The 18,558-nt window shown below is 43.4% G+C and overlaps 2 protein-coding genes and 2 non-coding genes across 4 annotated transcripts in view; all 4 read left to right on the top strand.

Moving 5' to 3' along the window:
* Window positions 1–2,715, top strand: part of KANSL2 (KAT8 regulatory NSL complex subunit 2) — a 29,028-nt gene extending 26,313 nt beyond the window's left edge. Inside the window, exons 9-10 of the mRNA NM_017822.4 lie at window positions 866–985; window positions 1,751–2,715. Coding sequence (NP_060292.3) covers window positions 866–985; window positions 1,751–1,882 — 252 coding nt within the window. The 3' untranslated portion in view covers window positions 1,883–2,715. The remainder of the gene's footprint in view (window positions 1–865; window positions 986–1,750) is intronic.
* MIR1291 (microRNA 1291) lies at window positions 1,396–1,482 on the top strand. Its single transcript, NR_031623.1, has one exon. It is a non-coding gene; the product is annotated as a microRNA 1291 (primary transcript).
* Window positions 1,408–1,544, top strand: SNORA2C (small nucleolar RNA, H/ACA box 2C). The gene has a single exon (NR_002968.1). It is a non-coding gene; the product is annotated as a small nucleolar RNA, H/ACA box 2C (small nucleolar RNA).
* A 9,559-nt stretch (window positions 2,716–12,274) lies between the features above and the next one.
* On the top strand, window positions 12,275–17,616 carry LOC124902928 (uncharacterized). The gene has a single exon (XM_047429953.1). It carries the CDS (start codon window positions 12,976–12,978, stop codon window positions 14,017–14,019), a length of 1,044 nt encoding a protein of 347 aa, XP_047285909.1. The 5' UTR covers window positions 12,275–12,975; the 3' UTR covers window positions 14,020–17,616.
* The last annotated feature ends 942 nt before the right edge of the window (window positions 17,617–18,558 follow it).

Here is an 18,558-nt window from a genome sequence, read left to right as displayed (position 1 = left end):
GTATGTATGTGTGTAAGTAGGTGGGTAGGTAGAGATGGAGTCTTGCTGTGTCACCCAGGCTGGTCTTGAATTCCTGGCCTCAAGTGATCCTCCCACTTCGGCTTCCCAAGGTGTTGTTATCATAGGCATGAGCCACTGCACCTGGCCGTTTTTAAGTGTACAAGTCAGTGGTGTTATGAACATTTACCATGTTGTACAGCTATCACCATTTTCTGTTCCAGAACTTTTTCATCAACCCAAACAGAAACTTTGTACTTTTTAAACAGTAACTCTCTCCTTTCCCTTTCCCCTGTTCCCTACTATTCTCCGTTTCTACTTTGTGTTTCTGTGAATTTTCCTAGAATTTTTTTTTTTTTTGAGACAGGGTCTGGCTCTGCCACCCAGGTTAGAGTGCAGAGGTGCAGTCTCGGCTCACTGCAGCCTCTGCGTCCCAAGCTTGAGGGATCCTCCCACCTCAACCTCCAGAGTAGCTGGGACTACAGGTGTGTGCCACCGCGCCTGGCTTATTTTTGCAGTTTTTGTAGAGACGGGGTTTCACCATGTTGCCCAGGCTGGTCTTGAACTCCTGGGCTCAAGTGATATGCCTACCTTGGCCTCCCAAAGTGCTGGGATTAGAGGTGTGGTGGCCAGAATTTTGTTTTTTAATCTACTGTATTGGTCTATGTTTTACACTTGGCAGCAAAAGCTCTCAGTGCTTTTGGATCTTGTTTCATTTGTTGGACGCTCTTGTAAAATTTTTTTTTTATTAAAGGTAGGCTAGGGTTGAGGGAGACAGCAGAGTATTGCTTTAAAGTTTGCTGAAAAACATGCCAACTTTATTACTGTTTCCCTTGGTATTGCTGATGGGCTTTTCTCTTTTTTCTAGGACTTGGATGTTGTGGGTGATGGTATGCAGTGTCCTCCTTCACCTTTGCTTTTTGATCCTTCACTAACCCTTGAAGATCATTTAGTCAAAGAAATTGCTGAAGACCCAGTGGATATTTTGGCAAGTGAAGAACAGTCCCACCTGTTTCCCTCATGTAGTGACCTGGCCAGGCAGAGGGTTCCCTGCTAGATAGCATGTGCTCCTGGAGGGGAGTGGGGTGTCATCACTAGTATAAAGATGCTCCACATGTCTCTCACTTATTGAATACCATATAAGCAAAGCACTTTTAAAAATGCCCTACTCTGCTCCTGTGTACCCTTGTTGCTGTAGTTCTCCAGATGGGCTCTTAGAACACCTAATGGCCCGTGATCCTCATATCCCAGAGTAGGACATACATTTATTTAAATAAAAGCTTGAGACAAGGAATCTAGGGAAATCATACCTTCTGAGGGAGAGTTCATCACTGAAATTGTTCTCATTGTAGAAGGACCAGTAAAGTAATGTGATTTGAGTTCTGTCCGTGAGCCTTGGGTAGAATTCCAGTGGCCCTGACTGAAGACCAGCAGTTGTACTGTGGCTGTTGGTTTCAAGCAGAGGCCTAAAGGACTGTCTTCCTGTGGTCTGTTGGCTGTTCTGGGACCTCAGTAGGGAATGGCTATTTCATTTGGAAGAAACAACCTACAGCTCACCATCCCATTGGAAGAGGCTCAGGAATAGGCTCTTCCAAGGGACTAGGATAGCTAATATGGGAAGAGCATCTGTCCAGAATTAATTTCTGTTGTATTGTTCTTATTGCTAGTTTAAGTGGCCACTGATAAGTCAGATTCATACTTCAGACCACAGTGAATGAATTACTAACTGAAGTGCCTTTATTTCTTTTAACAGGGCCAGATGCAGATGGCTGGAGATGGGTGCAGATCCCAGGGATCTCGAAATTCTGAGAAAGCCTCTGCACCATTGTCTCAGAGTGGATTGGCTACTGCAAATGGGAAGCCAGAACCCACTTCTATTAGTTGATAGTTTGGGGAACCATTTTACTTTGGTGGATTTAAATTTCTCGTTCTTCAAAGAAGTATTTCTGATCATCTCTCACAAAACACAGGCAACCCAGACTACCTTGTTTTTCTTCTGGATTGAGTATTATAGTCAAACGTAAAGCCAAATTTTGAGGACGTGGACCGTGGGTTTCTTCCCACTCAGGGCAAGGAAGAGAAAGAGAGATAATCCCTATCAAAGCTTCTGGGATTATTTGGGACTATACCTAAAAGGAAAGTGACATCTTTGTAATGGGATTTCCCAAGTCATGGATAGAAATCCACTTAAGTAGCTAGGTGGGAGCTGTCTTTGTGAGTGGTGTCTTTGAGATACTGATGGCCCTAATATCGGTTATCTCTATCTGAAGACCTGCAGTTTAGCTTTTCTTCACCTCTACTTAATTGGGCAGTCTTTAACCCCTTTCCCTGGTGAACTCTGGCTTTTTATCCTCTGAGAAAACAGCCCACAGGACTGGGTCCTCCTTATCCGTCTTGCTTTTAACCTATGTAAATTTCTGTGGTTGCTATCTTATGTAAAATATAGTAAAAATTTATTGTATATAGTTTCTATTAAATGTTAAAGAAAATGTTATGAAAATATCAAACAGTCACCTGAATTGAATGCATGTTTTGTTTGAGAATATAGTTTCTTTTTCGCGGTTTTGGGGACCTGTCTCTGATGGGAAAGGGAAGTTGGGACAGATGATACTTCCATCCCAAGAAGTAAATAAATCTTCAGTAGCTCATTTTGGTTTTGCTTTGAAGGAAGAAGTAAATGAAAAGGGGCAGGACTTATTAAAGCCCATCAGTTCCAAATATCTTTCTTCTTTTTACCCTCCACTCTGTGTCTCCTACACCCACTCCCATTTCTCACGATTAATGCCAATGCCATCTCTGCCAGACGTGGTGGCTTACGCCTGTAATCCCAGCACTTTGGGAGGCTGAGGTAGGCGGATCACTTGAGCTCAGGACTTCAAGACCAGTCTGGGCAATGTGGTGAGACCCTGTGTCTATATTTTTAAATTTTAAATAATTATTTTTAAAAAAATAATGCTAATACCATCTCAGAATTCTCTAGTGGTAGGAATATACTTAAAACATAGAGAAATTGGGCCTGATGCTGGATCACTAAGATAGACATAGATAGGTATTGTCAAGATCGTTTTGACACTGAATCTTAGAGCAGGATTAAAATAGAAGTTCAGTTAGGGTTGAGGTACCTATGCTAGAAATTGTCTATTTCTATACTGCATTATGACAAGGAGGGCAAAAGATTACTTTCTATAAGAACTGAAATGGGCACAGAATGGCTTACAGTTATACCATCATCTTAACTTTAAGCATTTACATTCAGAGAATGGTTGAAAGTAACTCATAAAAGGCCCATCAGATGAACCACTGGGGAGATTGCCTTTACTGGGTCTTCCAGTGATACTCTTTTTAAGTTTGTAGTTCCCACTGCTTTTTTGATTCTCTAGTCTAGTACTTTTTTTTTTTTTTTTTTTTGAGACGGAGTCTGGCTCTGTCACCTAGGCTGGAGTGCCGTGGCTCAATCTCGGCTCACTGCAACCTGCATCTCCTAGATTCAAATGATTCTCCTGCCTCAGCCTCCCGAGTAGCTGGGATTACAGGCATGTGCCACCATGCCTGGTTATATTTTGTATTTTTAGTAGAGATGGAGTTTTGCCATGTTGGCCAGGCTGGTCTCGAACTCCTGACCTCAGGTGATCTGCCTGCCTCAGCCTCCCAAAATGCTGGGATTATAGGTGTGAGCCACCATGCCTAGCCTAGTCTAGTGCATTTTATACTTTATCCACAAAGACAAACATTACTTTTTATTTATGTGTGTGTTTATATTTGAGATGTGATCTGACTATGTCACCCAGGCTGGAGAGCAGTGTCATGATTATAGTTCACTGCAGTCTCAAACTGGGCTCAAGCCATTCCCCTGCTTCAGCCTCTTAAATCTGGGACTTACGTACCATCATGCCTAGCTAAGACAAACGTTACTTCTTACACAGCTATGAGCTTAAACATGACTGCTTAGATATCCTCTTCCTGTTGTTTAAAAAAATGTAATTTACAGACCACTAGCATATATATCACCCAGCATGATTGCTAAAAAGTAAATTAATAGGCCCGTCAGCACTTTCTGGGGAATGAGGGCCAGGGAATCTACTCTTAGTGCCTCAGAAATTCTGATAGCCACGCATGCTTGCAGACTCAGCTGTGGTGAGTTTTGGGAAGGCTATGTTTGGCTACCATTCTCCAAGGTTCTGGCTCTCATTAGGTGCAGAGAAAACAGGAAGAGGGGGTAGGAGGGGCCTCAGGCTGCACCATGTTACTGAGAAAGTTTTGGCCCTGGTAATGAGTCTCTAAACAAAGGTCTGTTAGAAGAAATGGCCTAATACCCTTGTGCTCAGTCACTGGCAGCAACCTGAGGGAAGTGTGATACCTTGGTAGATCCAAAGGTTAGGATGCTGGAAGCTGTCAGTTAACTGCAGCTCATTCTCTTGAAATCAGGGCGGCATACCTCCATGGCTGCAGCCTTTTGTCAGATCCACTTCTCCCATGCATGTTTATGATTCCTGGGGGCCTTTTAAAGGAGAAACTTAGGGGTACAAATTACAGCCCTCATAGCTACAGTTTGTCTTGGGGGCTGCAACTGGTAATCACATCTCCCCACTCTACTATACATTCTAAATTCCCTCAGTTATTACGATGGTAGGTCTTGGTTTGCCTGGTGGTGTGAACCTACCTTAATTCCTGGCAAGTCTTGAGCCTTTGGTAATCATACCCTTCTCAGGCTAGGGTTGCTGCACGTGTTAATTCAGTTACAGTTGTGTGAGGGAGTACCAACTGTATAGGCAGAATAATCATCCCAAAGATGTCCACATCCTAATCCCTGGGATCTGTGAATATGCTATTGTAAAATGGCAAAAAGAACTTAAGATGTGGTCAAGGTTAAGGGTTTTGAGATGGAGAATAGCCTGGATTATCCAGGTGGACCCAATATAATCATGACTCCTTAAAAGCAGAGAACCTTTCCCAGCTGTGATCAGAAGCAATAGCGTGAGAAGGTTTCAATGACCTGTTGGTTCTGGATGTCTGCAAAGACTGGAGAGAGGTCTCTAGTTGTTAAGGATGACCCCTCTACCAAAACTGACAGCCAGCAAGGAACTGTCTTAGAAAACCTGCCTGCTTCACTCCTTTATGCTTCATGTGTGACTCCTGGTTTAGGCCCTCATCCTTTCTCTTGAGAAAGGCAGTCGTCTCCTAGTTGGTCTCTCAGTCTCACCCTTTTTCAATCCGTACTGCAGCCAGAATGATCTTGAAAACTTTATCCTGTCTCTCACTGCTTATGGCAACCCCTAGCCTTCAGTTACACCTCATTGTTGTCAGGAAAAAACAAAACAACCAGCTGCTTCAGCATGGCATTTAAGACTTCATAATCTGATCATATTTATCTATGGGCAGTCATCCTGAAATGTTCTTTCTCTTACAGGCTATTCTCCAGCCATTCTTAGATTTATTTGAAAAGGAAACTGAAATGTAGCCAAGTACATGGGGTTTGAATTCAGAAGGACCTGGATTGAATCCTGGTTTTGCCACTTACTCTGAGAACTTTGTGACTTTGAATCACTACCTCTCTGAACCTCAGTTTTCTCGACTGTGTAATAGGGGTAACACTCACCTAGAAGTATTGTGAGATAAAGTGAAAAACAAAGAATTAGAAACTCAGAAACATGTAAACCCTCAGAAAATGGTAACTTATTATTTTAAAAGTATAAGTTCTCTCTTTTCAGCTCAGGCATCACTTCATCCCAAGTTTTTCAATGATGAGTTAATGCTGACATTGAATGAATACAAGTAAAATAGCAAATCCAGCCATGTCTATAGGTTCATTCATTTGTAAGGGAAAAGTACGATTCTGTAGACAAGATAGTAACTCAGTCTTCATGTTTACAGTTAAATATTTAATCTGCTGACTTACTATTAGAAGTAGCAGTGCCTATACGGCTTGTATTATTTTGCCTTGCTCCCCTCCCAGCAAAGTTGTAAGATTCATCCTCTTTGTCTACATAAAGATGTTTTCATTTATTTTCATTACTATATATATAGAAATTTACTACTTTTTTTCTTTTTTTTTTTTCTTTCTTTTTTTTTTTTTTTTTTTTGAGACAGAGTCTTGCTGTGTTGCCAGGCTGGAGTGCAATGGTGCGATCTTGGCTCCCTGCAGCCTACGCCTCCTGGGTTCAAGTGATTCCCCTGTCTCAGCCTCCTGAGTAACTGGGACTTACTACACTATTATTCTACTATGTGTAGAATTTTACTATATGACTACATCACTATTTATTCACTGTAATGTTGAGAGACGATTGTTTCCAGTTTTGGATATTTCAAGAATTAGTCATTAATATTTTTGTATATTAAGGGCCGGGCACGGTGGCTTACACCTATAATCCCAGTGCTTTGAGAAGCTGAGGTGGGAAGATTGCTTGAGTCCAGGAGTTCCAGATCAGCTCAGGCAACATAGTGAGACCCTGTCTCTATAAAAATAAAAAATAAAAAAGCTGGGCATGGTGGCATGTGCCTGTAGTCCCAGCTACTTAGGAGGCTGAGATGAGAGGATCTCTTAAGCCCAGGAGTTTGAGGTTACAGTGATCTGTGATCTTAACTCCAGCTTGGGTGATATTACACTCCAGCTTGGGTGATACCAACACCCTGTCGCTTTAAAAAAAACAAAAAAACCGAACATGTATATAGCTGTTGCACATGTGCCTACATATCTTTGTGGGATGCCCAGCAGTGTAATTTGGGTCATAGGGTAGATGTATTTATAGCTTTACTAGATAATGTAAAGCTAGTTCTCCATAGGGGTTTAACCAATTTATTTTGTTTTTTGAGGTGGGGAATCTTGCTTATGTTGCCCAGGCTGGCCTGGAACTCCTGAGCGCAAGTGATCCTTCTGCCTCAATCTCCCAAGAAGTTGGGAATACAGGTGTGTGCCGTGATGCCCAGCTGGAATTTGTTTTTGGGTATAAGGGAGGTAGAGATCCAATTTTTTTTTTCCCATATGACTGTCTGTCACGTGGTTTTTCTCTGCTCCCATGCAGTGCCAATTTTGTCAAATGGTCTGATTTTGGGCTCTCTGTTGGTTTCCATTGGTCTGTTTTTGTATCTCTGTTAACATTACACTATTAGAATTACTTTTGTTTTATAATAAGTGATGATTTCTGTCTGGTATAGCAAATTATCCTACTTGGTTCTTTTAAAGGAGTGTTGTGCTGGTTTTTACACTGTTGTTTGCTGGGACTAGAACTCTGCAAATCACATTTCTCCTTTGTCAGCTGGCTGGCCTGTAGGGACTACTAAAGGCAGATTGTAGGGCTAGAAGAGACATTTTCCTTTTTCTTTTTTTTTTCTTCAAGATGGGTCTCACTTTGTTGCCCAGGCTGGAGTGCAGTGGTGCCATCTCGGCTCACTACAGTCTCTGCCTGCCAGGTTCAAGCTATTCTCCTGCCTCAGCCTCCTGAGTAGCTGGGATTACAGGTGCCTGCCATCACACCCAGCTAATTTTTGTATTTTTAGTAGAGAATGGGTTTCACCATGTTGGCTAGGCTGGTCTTGAATTCCTGGCCTCAAGTGATCCACCCACCTTGACCTCCCAAAGTGCTGGGATTACAGGCGTGAGCCACCGCACCTGGCCCGGGACACTTTCCTTCTCTTTGCTTTCTGTCTCTGTCAGCATTCTCTCAGTAACAACTCCTCATTCTGACAGCATCACTTGGTTCCAGTTTGCAGTTTTTTTTCTGCACTCCCAGAACCACCCTCATTGTGCCTCTTCAGATGTACAGTACCGGCCAGCCAGCATTCCTTCTCAAAGGTCAGAGTCCCAGATGTGTGGGGTCCCTCCTTCAAGCTCCTCTTCTGAGATCCTGAGGTACCTTTAGCAGCCAAGCAGCAACCGTTTCTCAAAATTTGAGTCTCAGGTCTGCAGGGCCCTTTCTTTCAAACTTTTCCTTTTGTTTCCCTTGCCATAGGGTGGTAGCTGCTTCCTTTAGTTACTAATCTGTGATACTGCAGTGTTCCTTTTGTAATTTTTCAGATCTCTAATACAGTAGGGCAATTGTTTATATTAAATAAAGATTTTATATAGCTGTGTTTCAACACATTAGAGATTAAAGAAGAAAAGTAATCTCAATAGATGCAGCGTTTTAAAAATAATATTTAATAACCATATGTGATTTTTTTTTAACTTAGTGAAGCTAGGAGTAGAAAAGATTTGTTAGCCTGATAGTATCTACAAAAAATACTCCAGCAAGTTTTTTGAAGTTTCTCTTTGAAATCAGGATTAAGAGAAGTTTGCCCACTATTAACATTTCTATTTAGTATTGTTCTGGAAGTCCAAGCCAGAATCTTCTGTCTCCCTCTGAGATTCTGATTAAATCTGTGCTAAATATCTTCTTACTCTATACCTCTTACATGGAAATTTTTCATCTTTTTGTTGCCTTCTTGGATAGTTTCTTCTGACATCAATTCATGGCCACCCATTTTCTTCCTGTATGTATTATTTTGAAGCACATCTCAGATGTATCATTTAATCTGTAAATATTTTGTTATGTATCTCTAAAAGATACACAAATATCATACTTTAAAAATTAGCAATAATTCTTTAATATCAAGTATTGAGTCAGTTTTCCAATTTCTAGTTGTCATATTTTTGTGTGTATGTATGTAAATATGTATGTAGGTTGATCATTTAAGTTATAATTCAAATGAAGTTCACACAATATGGTGACTTGATGATAATGCCTTATAAGTTTCTTTTAATCTATAGGTTGCTCTCTTTCTCCTAATTTTGTTTTGGAGAAAATAGGTGGTTGTTCCTGTATAGTTTTCATAGTCTGGATTTAGCAGATTGCACCTCCATACTGTAGTCTAACATGTTATTCTGTTGGTATTTCCTGCAAGTTGGCAGTTGGGTCCAGAGGTGTGATCTTCATAGGTGGTGGTGTCTTCTGTCAGTAGGCATGTAATGTCTGGTTGTCTCTTTTTGTGCTGGTAGCAGCCTTTTGATGCTCATTGCTGAGATCTGTTGATTCATTAGGTGTTGTAAAATGGCAATATTGTGAATTTATTTCTTTTTTATCTATTATTTGGAAAACTGAAGAAATTTCTCTTTATCCATTATTTGGATACCCAGTGGTATAGTTTGCATAGGAAAAGCAGGATAAATACTTAGTCTGTTCAGGCTGCTGTAACAAAATGCTATAAACTAGGTGGTTTACAAACAGCAGAAGTTTATTTCTCACAGTTCTGAAGACTGGGAAATCCAAGATCAAGGCATTAGCAGATTCAGTGTCTGGCAAGGGGGTCTACTTTCTTAAGGCAGCACCTTTTTTTTTTTTTTTTTTTTTTTTTTTTGTGACGGAGTCTTGCAGTGGCGCGATCTCCGCTCGCCACAACCTCCGCCTCCCGGGTTCAAGCGATTCTCTTGCCTCAGCCTCCCAAGTAGCTGGGATTACAGGTGCCCGCCACCACGCCTGGCTAATTTTTAGTAGAGAGGGGGTTTCACTATGTTGACCAGGCTGGTCTTGAACTCCTGACCTCATGATCCACCCGCCTCGGCCTTCCAAGTGCTGGGATTATAGGCATGAGCCACCGAGCCTAGCCAGCAGCATCTTCTTGCTCTGTCCTCACATGGTGGAAGAGGCTAGTTAGCTAGCTCTCTGGGGTCTCTATAAGGGCACTAATCCCATTCATGAAGGCAAAGCCCTCATGACTAATCACCTCCTCAAAGGCCCCACCTCTTAGTAATATCACCTTGTGGGTTAGGATTTCAACATAAGAATTTTGGATGCTCGCTTCGGCTGCACATATACTAAAATTGGAATGATAAAAAGAAGATTAGCAAACAAATTAATTTTAAAAAAGATTAAGGAATTTCTGGGGTCACAAACATTCAAACCATAACAATACTTAACCCTTTTTCTTTATTGACTATTTTTCAAAATAATGAATTGGGTCATTAGCAACCTTCAAAAGTAATCAGAGTTTTAAAAATTATAATGAAAGGCCAGATGCGGTGCCTCATGCCTGTAATCCCAGCACTTTGGGTGGCCGAGGCGGGTGGATCACCTGAGGTCAGGAGTTCGAGACCAGCCTGGACCAACATGGTGAAACCCCATCTCTACTAAAAATACAAAAATTAGCTGGGTGTGGTGACGGACGCCTGTAATCCCAGCTACTTGGGAGGCTGAGGTAGGAGAATCGCTTGAACCCGGGAGGCGGAGGTTGCAGTGAGCTGAGATTGCGCCATTGCACTCCAGCCTGGGTGACAAGAGCGAAACTCCATCTCAAAAAAAAAAAAAAAAAAACTTACTAGTACCTACATTGTCCTATTTTTGCCCAAGGAGATGTTCTTCAGTTCACGTCTGAGTCCTTTTGATGTGGCCTCAGTAGGCTTTGCAATTTAAATGTCAATATGTTTTAGGCTTGTTCATTTCCTACTTGAAAGCCAGAATCACCCATTTCTACAAGGAGTTCTGGTTTCCTTTTTTTTTTTCTTTTTTTTTTTGAGATGGAGTCTCGCTCTCTCCCCCAGGCTGGTGTGCAGTGGCGTGATCTTGACTCACTGCAAGCTCCACCTCCTGGGTTCACACCATTCTCCTGCCTCAGCCTCCCTAGTGGCTGGGATTACAGGCGCCCGCCACCCCACCCGGCAAATTTTTTGTATTTTTAGTACAGACTGGGTTTCACCATGTTAGCCAGGATGGTCTCAATCTCCTGACCTTGTGATCCACCCGCCTCAGCCTCCCAAAGTGTTGGGATTACAGGTGTGAGCCACTGCGCCCGGCCAAGAGCTCTGGTTTCTTTTTAATAAGAAATGATGGTTTACAATCTCAGTGCTAGGGATGTCCATTGCAGATATAATCGTCATTGTTTCTACACTTTTTCAGTGAACAGAGATAGATATAATGCCTCATAATTTCATAATGACATTTCACATTCAGAACTAGGGACTTTAACATAACCTCTTCTGTCTTATATCTGTACATCATTTTTTTCATGCTGACCATCTCCATTCTCAAGAACAGTAAGATGATAGAATTAAAATATAACCTCAGTGCTCATTTGTTTTAAAGAATAACTTCTATCCCTTGTATTTCTGGTCCGTTCTTTCCCTTACCTTGTAGGTAGCCATTTATATAAATTTTATGATTTATTCTCCTGTTTACAAAAATATAAGCCTGTAGATTTTCATTATCTCAAACACTGGACCTAGTAACAGTTTGTACTCCTTTGTTTTAGAATGCTCATCCCCTTACCTTTCACTTGTTGATAGGTCAACTCTATGATATTCTTTTGATTTGTTGATGACAGGCATGGAGGGAATTCCCACATGCTAACTTGTGGAGCAAAATGTCTTAGGATGCCCAGGTGACAAGAAACAGGTAGGGAAGTGACTTTGACTAGAGGCTCTGAATGAGGTATAAGGTTGCAGTATCAGGCTTCTTCCTTTATTACCCTTGAATGTCATGGTAATAGTAAAAGGGTGGAAATGATGTAATGGGAATGTCGTTTTCTGCAACCAGTGTGTGTGTGTTAAAAAATGGATCCTTTGGGGCCAGGTGTGGTGGCTCACACCTGTAATCCCAGCACTTCGGAAGGCCAAGGCAAGCAGATCACTTGAGTTCAAGAGTCTGAGACCAGCCTGGCTAACGTGGTGAAACCCTGTCTTTACTAATAATACAAAAATTAGCTGGACATGGTGGTGTGCACCTGTAATCCCAGCTACTTGGGAGGCTTAGGCATGAGAGTTGCTTGAACCTGGGAGGCAGAGGTTGCAGTGAGCCAAGATCATGCCACTGCACTCCAGCCTGGGTGACAGAGCGAGACTCCGTCTCAAAGAAAGAAAAGGGTGGTGGGGGGACACTTTGGACCATGTCCTATTTTTCATGGTGTCCAGCAGCTATTATACAGTAATATACTATCCTGAGATTTTGTGAGCCAGAATCGTCTGACTCTTAGCTGCGTTACCCTAGGAGACCAAAAGGTTATGCTAGGGCTATCAAAAATACACAAACTGGCTGGGTATGGAGGCTCACACCTATAATCACAGCACTGTGGGAGGCCAGGGTGGGAGTATCACTTGAGGCCAGGAGTTCAAGACCAGCTTGGGCATCATAGAGAGACAGACCCCCATCTCTAAAAAAAAAAAAAAAAAAAAAAGAAAAAAATTAGCCTGGTACAACAGTGCTGTGCACCTGTAGTGCTAGCTACTCATGAGGCTGAGGCGGGAGGATTACCTGAGCCCAGAAATTTTGAGGTTGCAGTGAGCCACGATCATGCCACTATACTCCAGCCTGGGCCACAGAGCGAGGCCCTACCTCTTAAAAAAAAGAAAACACACACAAACCAAAAGAAAATGTTAATATCAATAAATGTTTCAGTCAAATCTTGGCCTAGGGCTGTTTTATATTTTTAAAGTAACTTTGCATGTGTTTTATACAAGTCTTAGTGTGGAGTAACTCATTTTGCACCCACATGCTACCTAAAGCATATAGTCATGCACCACATAACATTTTGGTCACGGATGGACTACATATGTGATGGTGGTGCCATAAGGTTATAATATGGTATTTTTAGTGTACCTTTTCTATGTTTTGCTATGTTTACATACACAAATACTTACCATTGTGTTACAGTTGCCTATAGTATTCAGTGCAGTCACATGCTGTACGGATTTGTAACTTAGGAGCAATATGCTATACCATAGAGTGTAGGTGGGTGGTAGGCTATACCATCTCGGTTTGTGTAGGTGTACTCTATGATTGCACAATGATGAAATTGCCTAATGACATATGTCTTAAGAAGGTATCCCTGTTAAGCATATATCCTATTCATGACTTTTCTTTCTTTAGTCCCTCACCTGCTTCTCACTTGCCTTGTATTTGAGCATTTATTGACATATAGATGAACCTGATATGAATGAATATATTATTCATTATATTAAGCTAGTAGTGTTCTAAGTATGCTAGGTATTATTCCCTATGGTGTGCCAGAACTGTGATGGCATTGGTCTTATCCTTGATAAATAATGAATTCCTGGTAGCTATGTATATGGCCAATGCTCACAACTTTTTTTTTTTTTTTGGAATCTCCTATGTCTACTTCTTTCTACACAGACACAGTAACAATCTGATCTCTCTTTCTTTTCCCCACATTTCCCCCTTTTCTTTTCGACAAAACTGCCATCGTCATCATGGCCCGTTCTCGATGGTTGCTGTCTCTTCAGAGCTGTTGGGTACACCTGCAGAAAGGCTGTCACTTCACACTTGGAAGATTGCACAGCGGCCAGGCAGAGGTGCTCCTCACCTCCCAGACGGGGCGGCTGGGCAGAGGCGCTCCTCACTTCCCAGATGGGGTGGCGGCCGGGCAGAGGTGCTCCTCACCTCTCAGACGGGTTGGCGGCCGGGTAGAGGAGCTCCCCACCTCCCAGACGATGGGCGGCCGGGCAGAGGCGCTCCCCACCTCCCAGACAATGGGCGGCCGGGCAGAGGTGCTCCTCACCTCCCAGACGGGGCGGCCGGGCAGAGGCGCTCCTCACTTCCCAGACGGGGTGGTGGCCGGGCAGAGGTGCTCCTCACATCCCAGACGGGGTGGTGGCTGGGCAGAGGCGCTCTTCACATCCCAGACGGGGCGGCCAGGCAGAGGCACTCCTCACATCCCAGACGGGGCGGCCGGGCAGAGGCGCTCCTCACCTCCCAGACGGGGCATCCGGGCAGAGGCGCTCCTCACTTCCCAGACGGGGCGGCCAGGCAGAGACGCTCCTCACATCCCAGACGGGTTGGTGGCCGGGCAGAGGCACTTCTCACTTCCCAGACGGGGTGGCGGCCGGGCAGAGGCACTCCTCACTTCCTAGACAGGGTGGTGGCCGGGCAGAGACACTCCTCACCTCCCAGACGGGGTGGCGGCCGGGCAGAGGCGCTCCTCACCTCCCAGACAGGGCGACCGGGCAGAGGCGCTCCTCACTTCCCAGACGGGGTGGCCGGGCAGCAGCGCTCCTCACATCCCAGATGGGGCGGCCAGGCAGAGATGCTCCTCACTTCCTAGATGGGGTGGCGGCCGGGAAGAGGCGCTCCTCACTTCCCAGACGGGGCGGCCGGGCAGAGGGGCTTCTCACATCCCAGACGATGGGCGGCCAGGCAGAGATGTTCCTCACTTCCTAGATGGGGTGGCAGCCGGGCAGAGGCTGTAATCTTAGCACTTTGGGAGGACAAGGCAGGCGGCTGGGAGGTGGAGGTTGTAGTGAGCCGAGATCACGCCACTGCACTCCAGCCTGGGCAACATTGAGCATTGAGTGAGCGAGACTCCATCTGCAATCCCAGCACCTCGGGAGGCCGAGGCGGGCAGATCACTCGAAGTCAGGAGCTGGAGACCAGCCCGGCCAACAAGGCGAAACCCCGTCTCCACCAAAAATACAAAAACCAGTCAGGCGTGGCGGCACGTGCCTGCAATCCCAGGCACTCGGCAGGCCGAGGCAGGAGAATCACGGGAGCCCGAGGCAGGGAGGTTGCAGTGAGCCGAGATCACGGCAGTACAGTCCAGCCTCGGCAACAGAGGGAGACCGAAGAAAAAGAAAGAAAGAGAGAGAGAGAGAAAGAGAGAGAGAGAAAGAGAAAGAAGGAAAGAAAGAAGGAAAGAAAGAAGGAAAGAAGGAAAGAAAGAAAGAAGGAAAGAAAGAAGGAAAGAAGGAAGGAAGGAAGGCAGGCAGGTCACAAATATTTGTTGAGTTAAATTTTTAGCATTACTAGCTTGTTGTCACTGTCTTCAGCTGCAGAAAAAATGCTGGACACAAAGCTGAAGCATGGTGCAACAGTCAGTTTTACTGTAGTCTGGGGAAAAGTCTGCCTTCAGACCAGGATCTGTCTGTCCCCTCTGGCCCAAGTCTGCATAGGCCACCATGGCTGCAGTGACAAGAGGGGACTAGGGAGACAGTACCCTCTTGAGGGGACCTCTAAGGTTGGGGAAATCTCCCTACACTCGGAGACAGTGGGGGGAAGATGAGAAGCGGGGGAAGTGAGGTGAGAGTGGAAAGGGGAGATGAGAGGGAAAGAAAGCACAGAGGTGGAAAGGTGGAGGAGAAACAACCTGTGACGGATGAGGCACTGTAAAGGGGCAGGGGTTACTCCTCAGCCAGCTCAGTTGGGCCCCAGTAACCTGGTGAAGAAGGAAAAGTGACAAAAAGAAGGCTGGAGAATAATCACATACCTTTCCAAGAACCTATTTTCTATCTTTCCCTGCTCCCAGTCCCTAGTCATTTATCAGTGACACATCACCCATTGTTAGGAGTGTCTGTAGCCTCTAGATCTGCTTGAAAAAGCATCATGAAGTACAGAAACTCAGGTTCCCTCTAGATGACACAGCTTCTGAAGCAGACTTCTGCTCTGGGTTCTCCTGGCTAACATGTCTGGCTCTCATTCTCCAGAAGAATTCTGTTCAGCAGAATCTCAGTGGTGGGGTTTTGAGCTGCTGGAAGCAGCATCCCAAGGTCCCTGACACCAATCACATTTTACCAATGCATTTCTCTAACCATTTCTTTCCAAGTCTACAACCATCCTAATCTATGACATTGAATCGTCTCATCTGAAAGGCTACAGTAGCACTCCATTATATCCTTATAGCCATACCTACCCCTCTTACCTATTTTTCACACTGCTGCAAGAGTGATCTTTGGGAAATGCAAATCTTCTATTACTCCTTTGCTTAAAAACCCTTCAGTAACTCCCCCTTGAACTTAGGGTGAAGATCAAACTCCTTGCTATGGGCTATGATGGCCACACAGTCTGTCTCCAGCCTACCTCTCCAGCCTTATCTCTCATGACTTCTTTCTGTTCCACAAATGTGGAAAGCTTTGCTTTAGAGCTTTGCACATACCTTTCCTCTCTGCCTGTTTCCTCCAAATTATCTTTGACACTTATTCCTGGTTAACTTCTACCTATCCTACAGGTTTCATCTTAGAATTAATTTTCTCAGGGAGTTGTCCTTTGACCCCTGACGTGGATGTGCTCTCTGTCCTTTGTCTTCATAGTACCCTCACATTTGTAATATATGAGTATTTGTAAAATTATTTGTTTAATGTTTGTTTCCCCTTTTAGACTCTAGAACTGTAATAAGGGACTTACTGTTTTACTCCCTGCTGTATCCCTTCTCCTGTGTAGTGCCTGGTGTATATTTGCATTGAATAATTAGTAGAAAAATCTAATAAAAGTGGTACCATGATCAGACTGGGTGAGCCACTTAGCAGCAGGAACCTGTATGGGAGAGAGTGTTCTCACTCCTGGAGGGGCTCGGGTAAAGTTGGGATGGGCTTACCATGAAATGTAAAGTAGTGGAGGAAGTGGAAGGACCTACTGCTATGAGAATGCCTGCCTTCCTGTGTCTGACCCTTTGTCACAGCTATTTAGGACTCCTTTCTGGTTGTCTGACTCCTTATTTTGCCCTCATCCAAAAACTGTAGGGTATTTTTCTTCCTGTTGAATTGTTGTTTCTAGAATTCACTGGACATATAAACCTCATATCCTTTGGGATTGGTTATAGGCCATAGATTGCCAGAACTGAAAGAGTCACTACTGCTATTACTGGTTTGTGTAATTATCAGCTTACAGTTAGTGCTTGCATGTGCCAGGCATTGTTATATAATTATCTCCATTTTACAGATGAGGCAGCCAGGTCATAAGAGACTAATGAATTTTCCCAAGTAATTTTATATATAATCTGGTCCAACCCTCTTAAGTAAAAGTGAGGAAATCAAGGCCTAGAAATATTAACTACTTACCAGTAACACCAAGTGTGTTAGTTTCCCAAGGCTGCCATAACAAAACAGCAAACTGGGTGGCTTAAAACAATAGAAATTTGTCTCAGTTCTGGAGACTAGATGGCTGAAAGTATTGGCACGGCCATGTTCTCTGAAACTTGTAGGAATGAAAGAATTCTTCCTTGCCTCTTCCTAGCTTTTGCTGGTTTGTGGGCTGTTTTTGATATTCCTTGGCTTGCAGCTTCATAACTCCAATCTCTGTCTTCATTGTCACAAGGAGTTCTCTCTGTTTTTCTATCTTTACATGGCCATCTTATAAGGACACTAGTTATATTGGATTAGGGGCCCACCCTACTTCAGTATGACTTCATCTTAACTAATTATTAAAAATGGCAAAAACCATAATTACTTTTGCACCAAACTAATACATCTGTAATGACACTATTTCCAGGTCATATTCTTGAGATACTGGGGGTTAGGACTTCAACATGTCATTCTTTGGGGGACACGATTCAACTCATAGCACTAAGTAATTAATGGAAGAGCTGGCATAAGAATGCAAATAGATTCATCAATGAGATAATTTTTACGTTGTGCCCCATATGAGTTCATATTCTTGTAATGTGTTTATTCCACATTCATTGGATATAACTCAAAGTTTTAGTCAAACCTCTTTCTCTTTAGCCATAGAGCAATTTTGAGATTTATATTTTATTGTCTTATTTGTGGTTGACTGTTACCAATTTTATTTTTTAACAGCTTTATTGAGTCATAATTGTCAAACAAAAAATTGCACCTATTTAAAGTGTACAACTTGATACCTTTTGGCACATATATACACTTACGAAACCATCCCCACAATAAAGATAGTAAGCATATCCATCACGCCAAAACTTTCCTTGAGTTCCTCTCTCTCCCATTCCTATTCCCTATTCCAAAGCAATCACTACTCTGCTTTTTGTCACATAGATTAGTTTACATTTTTTGAGTTTTATATAAATGGAATTATATAATATGCATTTTTTTGGGTCTAGGGTCTCAGTCTAGTGTACTGCTATATAACAAAATACCTTTAGGGTAATTTATATATTTATTTATTTGAGACAGCGTCTCACTCTGTCGCCCAGGCTGGAGTGCAATGGCGTGATCTCGGCTCACTGCCACCTCTGCCTGCCGGGTTCAAGCAATTCTTCTGCCTCAGCCTCCTGAGTAGCTGGGACTACAGGCGTGCGCCACCATGCCCAGCTAATTTTTTGTATTTTTAGTAGAGACAGGGTTTCACCATGCTGGCCAGGCTGGTCTTGAACTCCTGATCTTCTGATCCGCCCGCCTCAGACTCCCAAAGTGCTAGGATTACAGGCGTGAGCCACTGTGCTTGGCCAGATAGGGTAATTTAGAAATAAAATAAATTATTTATCACAGTTCTGGAGACTGGGAAGTCCAAGATCAAGATGATGGCAGGTTCAGTGTCTGGTGAGGGCTGCTCTCTGCTTCCAAGTTGGTGCCTTTTTGTTGCATCGGCACACAGCAGAAGGTGGAAGGGCAAGAGGGGACTAATGCTGTGTCCTCACATGGAAGAGAAGGAAGGCCCAGGCAGCTCTCTGAAGCCTCTTTTATAAAGGCACTAAGTAGTTTATGAGGGTGGAGCCCTCAAGACTTAATCACTTCCCCAAAGGCCCTATCTCTTAGTAATATCACATTAGATATTAGGTTCCAACATGTGAATTTTGGAGGGACACATATATGGTCAGCCTTTTTAAAATTTTAACAATTCTAATGGGTGTGGTTATATTCCATTGTAGTTTTAATTAGCTCTTCCCTAATGATTAATGAGT

The sequence above is a fragment of the Homo sapiens genome, chromosome 12 (assembly GCF_000001405.40).
Source record: "Homo sapiens chromosome 12, GRCh38.p14 Primary Assembly".
Taxonomy (NCBI): domain Eukaryota; kingdom Metazoa; phylum Chordata; class Mammalia; order Primates; family Hominidae; genus Homo; species Homo sapiens.
Note: the sequence above shows the minus strand (reverse complement) of the source record. Positions and strands in the feature narration are given on the sequence as shown.